General features: G+C 45.3%; 1 pseudogene; it reads left to right on the top strand.

Moving 5' to 3' along the window:
• Positions 2,773-4,066, top strand: LOC442292 (coiled-coil domain containing 86 pseudogene; annotated as a pseudogene).
• Positions 4,067-7,825: the final 3,759 nt, after the last annotated feature.

Raw genomic sequence — 7,825 nt, 5'->3', positions numbered from 1 at the left:
ACATAGGCAAGGAAGTTGGACTGGATAGAGAAGCTGGGCTGTGATTCAGGCCCAGCAATAGACTCAGCCAGTCACACAAGGAGCTCTGAACCTAGAATAGCCTCTCAGACTGTTCCCAAGTTGGGCTGAGATGCCCAGGACTTTATATTCATGCATCAGTCACTCATTGGATGTAGGCCACCTGTGAAGACCAGGCCAGATGGCTCTCGGGAGCTGAGGCAATCCCTGAAGGGTCTGACAACTGAAAGCTGTCTGCCCATGCCTCCCAGTAGCTGGGACAACTGGTCTTTCATTGAAGGGAAAATCTCAGAGGAGCATCTCACTGTTCATCACATGGCGCAAACATTTTAGGGCCATGATAGTGGCCTCTATTAGATCTTCATCCTTCTATAATGATTTTTCTAATCTCTCTTTTTTTTTTTTTTTTTTTTTTTTTGAGACAGGGTCTCACACTCTGTCACCCAGGCTGGAGTGCAGTGGCACAATCTCGGCTCACTGCAACCTCCGTCTCCCGGGCTCAAGTGATCCTCCCACCTCAGCTGCACATATAGCTGGGACTACAGGCCTGCACCTCCACACCCAGCTAATTCTTTTTTTTTTTTTTTTTTTTTGTAGAGACAGAGCTTTGCCACGTTGGCCAGGCTGGTCTTGAACTCCTGGGCTCAAGTGATCCATCTGCCTCAGCCTCTCAAAGTGCTGGGATTACAGGCTCAAGCCACTGTGCCTTGCCTTTCTAACCTTTTTGATCCCCTGAAATACTATACTTAGCATAAAGTCCTGCAAGTGGTAAGGTCTAATAAGTATATATTCAATGAGGAGGTGAATGAGTTTTATGGACTAAATGTTTGGGTCACTCTCAGATTCGTACGTTAACTAATTTCTAGTGTGATGGTATTAGGAGGTGGGGGTCTTTGAAGGTTAATTAGGTCATGAAGGCAGAAGCCTCATGAATGGGATTGGTGTCCTTATAAAAAGGACCCCAGAGAGCTCTCTCATACTCTTTTATCCATGTGAAGACACAATGAAAAGATGACAATCTGCAACCAAGAAGAAGGCCCTCACCAGAACCCTACCACTCTGTCTCAGACTTCCAGTCTCCAGAACCATGAGAAATAAATTCCTGTTGTTTCAAAGCCACCCAGTCTGTGGCACTTAGTTATAGCAGCCCAAACCAAGACAAAGAGTAGGGGGTGAGTGGGTGGATGGATGAGTTACAAAAGGAACCCAACACTGAAGTCTTGGATACCGCTCCAATGACCTCTTCTGAGGTCCCACCTCTGTTCATTAGGAGCCCTGGACAGGGAAGCTGTGTTATAGAATACCACACCACCCACTATCCTTCCAAAGACTGTTCTTAAAATCAACTCAAACAAAAAAATAACTGCGATAGACTTGACCTTTGAAAAAGAAACATTAGATCCTCTTTCTAGTAGCTGGGAAATTCAGCACTAGCAACAAAATTGTGTGAATCACTGACAGAAAAGGGGCCAGTAGCTGTAGCTCTCACCAATACAAATGAGAGGCAGGCAAAAGGCAGATTAAAATATGATCTTGTTGATGCTTTGGCTTTGCTTCCCAGGCTTTTGGTGTGTGGAATTGTAGACTGCATTTTTCTTCTATAGAGCCCCAAAGCATTAGAATTAGGATAGTAGATCTGGGCCACGACAGGCTTTCATCCATTGGCAAGAATTAGACCCCAGGGAGGAAGAGGCAGGGTAGTCTGCACTCAGGGAGACTTCAAGAGCACTCTTGTCTTGGGTCCCAATTGGCCAGGCGATATCATGGTTGAGTTTCTGAGCAGTAAAGTGGGATATAAGTAGATGAACCACAGGAGAAAGAATCCTTAAACAGTCCCAGGCAGAAGTAATTTTCTACGGTTTTGGTTGGCAATTCTTTTGAGATTCAAAGGAACAAAGGACAACCAATTCAACAGTAATAAGAAACAGAAAGTGGCAAATTATTCAGTAATAGGGGTTAAAAAATAGCTATAGAAGCCCTTTAAAAATGAATTTCATAATAGATATCAGATTTCTGCTTTCAGTAGTGGCAGAATAGGATATTTGGACCAACCTACCTATCTGTTGAAGACAATCAGAAAAGCTGAACAAAGTAGTTTGTAAAAATCTGCTTGAAGGCATTAGAGAACAAATAAGGCAGAAAAGAGTTACCAGGTTAAGATTTGGGGGAAGGCAGAAACCCAGAGCAATGGAAACCCAGTGGCATTTAGGACTACCTCTGCCAATCCCAGAAGAGATGGTTGAGAGGTTAAAAACATAAACAGGGCTTTGATTGCTTTGCAGAACACAGGGGAACAGAAACTGGATTCTATAATTTGAGGTGATACTCATAATTATCTATACTCTGGAAGAAAAGATGAACTAGAAGTAAACTAAAAAGATGAACTAGAAGTAAACTAACTTTCAAAAGGACTGAAACTCAGCTTAAAATCCTCTCATTACTGAATTGGATTAATGGGATCCTAGGTTGCTAATGCCCCAGCTATCATCCAGATGCACAGATAAATCCTTTCTGAAGACATGGTAACATTCTTCTAACTTTTAATTTTTTCTACTATTTTTCATAACCAATTTCAGGCACTTATGCAAAAATAACCAGGCATATGAGAAAAAAGAAAAGTACAAATGAAAATCAAGAGAAAGAATAGATCCACGGGGGATCCAAACAAGGAAGGTATTAACATAGACTTTAAAATAACCATGCCTGATATGTTTAAAGATAACATTGTGGATGTGTGTAGGGGTTTGGAAACTTACCGACTGAACGATGGATACACCGCCAAGGCGAAGCCGACAGCTGGAAGGCCTAGGGCCTGAATCCCTCCAGAGCCTCACCTCAGTTTCACGTAGGAGATGGGTCCTTGTGGAGTTCGAGTTGGACACAGAAGAAACGAGGGAGCCCGGGTCTCCTCCGAGTGTGCAACAAGCTGGCCTGGGGCCCCCCGAAAGGACGCTGGAGAGAAGCCCAGGATCACCCAGTCTTTGCAGCAGGGTGCAGGCTTGGAGTCCCCCCAAGGGCGGCTAGAATCAGGTCCAGGGTCCCCCCAGTGTCAGCAAGGCCTACACCTGGAGTCGCCTCAAAGACAGCTGGAGTCCAGTCCTCAATCCCCACGATGTCAGCCGAAGCCAAGTGAGGAGGCACCCAAGTGTGCTCAGGGCCAGGGAGTACCTGGCCTCGGAGTTGGCCCAAAGTAAGGAGGAGCTGATCCCAGGGGGCCCCCCAGCATCAGCTACTGCCGGGCCCAGGATCACCAGAGCCTTAACCCCAGTCAGGAAGCTCCGGGTCCGGAGCCCTCTCAGCCACTACTGCAGCTAACACTCGAGGCACCTGGCTTCCCCCAGGGTCAGCACGAGCAGAGCAAACCACCTCCAGCTGGGGAGATGGTGACAGACGGCTTCGGGGCAAAGAAGCCAAAGGGTTCTTCATCCCAGGCCCCAGCGTCCAAGAAGCTGAAGGAGGAGGAGCTTCCTGTAATCCCGAAGGGGAAGCCCAAGTCGGGGCAAGTGTGGAAGGACCGCTCCAAGAAAAGATTCTCTCAGATGCTTTAGGACAAGCCCCTGCGTATATCGTGGCAGCGGAAGATGAAGCAGGAGAGGAAGCTGGCCAAGGACTTTGCCCGTCACCTGGAGGAGGAGTAGGAGAGGCGCCGCCAGGAGAAGAAACAGCGTCGGGCGGAGAACCTGAAATGCCGCCTGGAGAACGAGCGGAAGGTGGAGATCGTCCAAGTGATCCGAAACCCTGCCAAGCTCAAGCGGGCAAAGCAGCAGCAGCTGCGCTCCATTGAGAAGCGGGACACCCTAGCCCTGCTGCAGAAGCAGCCGCCCTAGCGGCCGGCAGCCAAGATCTGAGCTCAGGATGGCCCGAGGCCTTCCACGGCCAACAATCATGTCAGACCCAGCACCTCAGGCCGCTGCTCAGACAACTCTGCTGGAGCCGGCACTCCAACCCCATGGCTCCAGAATAGGGACCCCCAACTGGGGTTCCTTGGCCTTTGAAGACTTGCAGGCAGGTCTCTGTGGGACAGAAGCCCAGAGGTGGGGCTGGGACCTGGCAGAGATGGGGCGGGAAGAGATTCAGCCCCCATCCCTCCTTCCTCTCCTTCTCCAAGTGCCTTCAAACCAAGAACAGTACATTTTTCTGGTTCCTCAGTGAGCTGGTGACTGGTGGGTGACTTCCCTAGCGATGTATGTCCTGTCTCAGCGTCCTAGGTCCATCCCAGGCCTGGAGGCTGGCAGTTGGGAATCCAACTTCCCCCACACCTTCCCAAAGGCTGCTCTGGGCACCTCGGCGCCCCACTGGCTCTGTCCCCAGCAAACTGAATCCAGCTCCTCCCTACTTTTCAACACTGAAAGATTAAAATGGGAGGCTGCAGGGAGCAGGGTTTTTCCCTAGCACCCCCTTTCCAAACCAAACTCTGCAGAAGCCCCAGATAATCTAACTCATGTCCGTCCAGTCTACAGCAAAAATATTTATATTTATTGCGTGCTTGTCGCATACAGGCACAATCCTAGGCACCAACCAATACAGACAGTAGACCAAAGTAGGAGCTTTTATTCTGATGGAGAGAAAACATAATAAACAATCAAAATGCAAAAATAAATAAATAACATTGTGATTTTTCACAGAGAAAAATCAAATGGAATCTGTAGAATTGAAAAATTCAGTAACTGAAACTAATAATTCATTGAGTGAGTTTAATAGAAGAATAGATGCACCTGAATAGAAAATTAATGATCTGCAAGATAGGCCATGAAAAAATATTTGGAATGATGAATGATGACAGAGGAAAGAATAAGAGACATGGGGATACTGTGAGGAATCTAACATAATGTGTAATTGGAGTCCCAAAAGTGAGGAGAGAGATTGGGTAGAAGCAATATCTGAAGAGACAGTAGCTGAGAATCTTCAAAAAATGATGAAAGACATTGAGCCACAGACTCAGGAAGTACTACCAGCTCCTAGCAGGACGAATAAAAGCAAAAGCAGACCTAGGCACATCACAGCAAAACTGTTCAAAACATCTTCAAAGAGTTGACAGAAAATCAACCAACTGAGGATCCTACACTCAGTAAAAATACCCTTAAAGAATGAAGATGAAATAAAAACATTTTCAACCAAACATGGATAAATTTGTCAGCAGAAGACCTGTACTGAAGGAATACTAAAGGTTATTCTTCACACAGAAGGAAAATGATTAAAGACAGAAATTGGAGGTGTAGAAAGGAACGAAGAGCAATGGAAAATGTATGTAGGAAATATAAATAAATATTGATTATCATAATGCCTCATGGAATTTATAATACCTATGGAATTAAAATGCATGGCAACAATAATATGTAAGGTCAGAGTGGGATGGAAGGGGGTAAATTAATAAATCAGTATTTTAAGGCATTATCAGAAGAGGGTAGAAGTATAAAATAACATCAGGCTTTTATAAGTCAGGATGTATACTGCATCTCTATGTTAATGACCCAAGGACTATTAAAAGAGTACCACTCTTGATACATGCACTCATACCCAAGCACACATGCACTTGCATGCACACATAGAAAAGTCATGGGAAGCCTCCACCAAAATGTTAATTTTGGTTATATGTGGGTGGAGGCAGCTGGCCAATTTTTCTCTTCCTTTGCTTATGTGTATTTTAATTTTTTTCTAGCATATAGAAAATGAATCACTACCCATCGAAAGAGCTTTACCTTCTAATTCTATGACTCGTCTATTTCTTTTTTAGCTCTTCTGAGCTGTAGATAGATAATTTAAAGTAAAATTTGCCATTAATTTGAAGTCTGGTTTGGTTTTGTTTTACTGAATAATAAAACCTTAATATCTTCCCCTGTCATTAAATACTATTCTATAATATCTGAATGACTATAGAATAGCCCTTTGCATAGCTGCTCTATAATTTAGCCATTTGCCTATTGTTGGACATTTGAATTATTTCCAATTTTTAGAATAAATATTCCTAATGGACATTCCTGCAAACATGATTTTTTTCTGAGGAGATATTTCTAGAAGTGTAATTGCTGGGTAAAAGGGTCTACAAAATATTAAGTTTTTAAATTCATATTACCAAATTACCCTCTGTTAGGGCTGTATTTAGCTGCTTTTTAATTGGCCAATATAAGAGTATGGAGGGGGTTATAGTAATTGTTTTCACAGTGTGCACAGGGTTTATGTCTATGACAGTTGAAGGTTCCCTCCATGCTGCTGTGGTCACACCTAGAGAACTATGCCAAGCAGTGCATGGTTGCAGTAATGGGCATAAGGGCTAAAGGAATTCACAGAAAGGGAGCAGTCTTATGGGTCTGGTTGAGTCTGGAGAAGCTTTGTGGAGAGATGAGGCTTGAGGAAGGTCTTGAAGGTGGGTAACAGACCGGTCCAGAGGTGGAGAAAGCTGCTGATGTGAAGCAGGTGCCCTTCAGACCAGCCCCAGCAGGTGTGGGCGCAGAGTGGTAGGACCAGAGAAGGTGGCAAGTGTCTCCAAGCAACACTGAACCAGGCTGAACTAGATAAGATGGGTCCTGGCAGGCAAGGGAGGCTCTAGAACAAGGCAATGGTGTGATGAAAGGGACATGTCTGTGTCCTCATTTGACCCCCACATTTGATGTTTCCTCAGAAATGGGAAGAAACTGGGGCTTTTCTACTTTTTATTATATTAGAAAAAAAAAAACCCTGCCAATTTGCCAGTCTTGGAAGGATAATAAAAACAAAACTCTTCCTCTCTCAGCAGAATGGAATTAGATTCACCTTGTTACAGTTTGTGCTGCTACCAATTAGAGAGAGAAAAGATACTCTGCTGAAATGTTCTCCACCTTCCAGCTGCTCTTCTTTAATCCGTGTAGTTTAAATCCCCCAAGGACCTTAAACTAAAGCAACCACCAAATATTGAAAAATAAAACAAACTGTGAGTTAGGGGGACTGTAAAGAATGCCTTTTGTTTAGGAAAGGAGGGGAGCAGGGAGGATTTTCAATGGGAACCCCTTTAAAGGTGAGGAAGAAAGAAGTTTAGGGCACCTTTCTTTCTCCCCAGGGATTTCCAAGCAAAGACTTGTAGACTCCAGGAATCCCGAGGACAGCACTAGTGTCTTGTTAAATCAGGTAGAGAACTCTAAATTAGAGACTGATGAAAGCAGGTGATCTCCCAATTGAGAGAAGTCTGAGTGAGCCAGGCTGCACTCAAGGATATCCCCTCAAAGGCCATTCCTGGGGAGGAGATGTTTTGCACGTGTGCCCAGGAGCAGATGTCCTGAGCCAGAGCGGACACAAGGTGATGGTTGGTGGGGCAGACCCCCACCTGCAAGAGCAGTTCCAATGAACCCCGAGGTTATCCATACACACTGCCAGTCTGCCAAGAGAAGCTGCTTCTCACTGTGGCAGATCAGCTGTGACCACATCTCTTCTCCAGAGGAAGGACAAGGAGAAGGTGCCAGCCATAGGACAACAGTGGGCAGCCGTCCCCTCTCCTGCATGGGCAAAGGCACTGGGCACTGTCAGCAGATTTTGACCCCGTCTCCTTTACCCTGCATTGCTTGAGCTACAGGACCACATCACTGAAATCAAGCATCGGACTTTAGGGGGTCAAGAAATGGGATTTTAGATCTTTAACTTTTGGATGTGTTGTTTAAACTACTAAAAGAGCAATGAGAGGTGGAGGGATGGAGTCAGGCTGCCCAGTTGACTTTGGGTAACTTGCTTTTCCTTTCCAAACCCGTCTCCTCTCTGTAAAATAGGGCTAGAAATAGTGCACACCTCAGAGGATGCTGTGAGGAGTAAGTGAGACAATGCCCTTGACCGCCCAGCGGGG

The sequence above is a fragment of the Homo sapiens genome, chromosome 7 (assembly GCF_000001405.40).
Source record: "Homo sapiens chromosome 7, GRCh38.p14 Primary Assembly".
NCBI classification, from domain to species: domain Eukaryota; kingdom Metazoa; phylum Chordata; class Mammalia; order Primates; family Hominidae; genus Homo; species Homo sapiens.
This window is presented reverse-complemented; position numbering and strand designations above follow the sequence as displayed.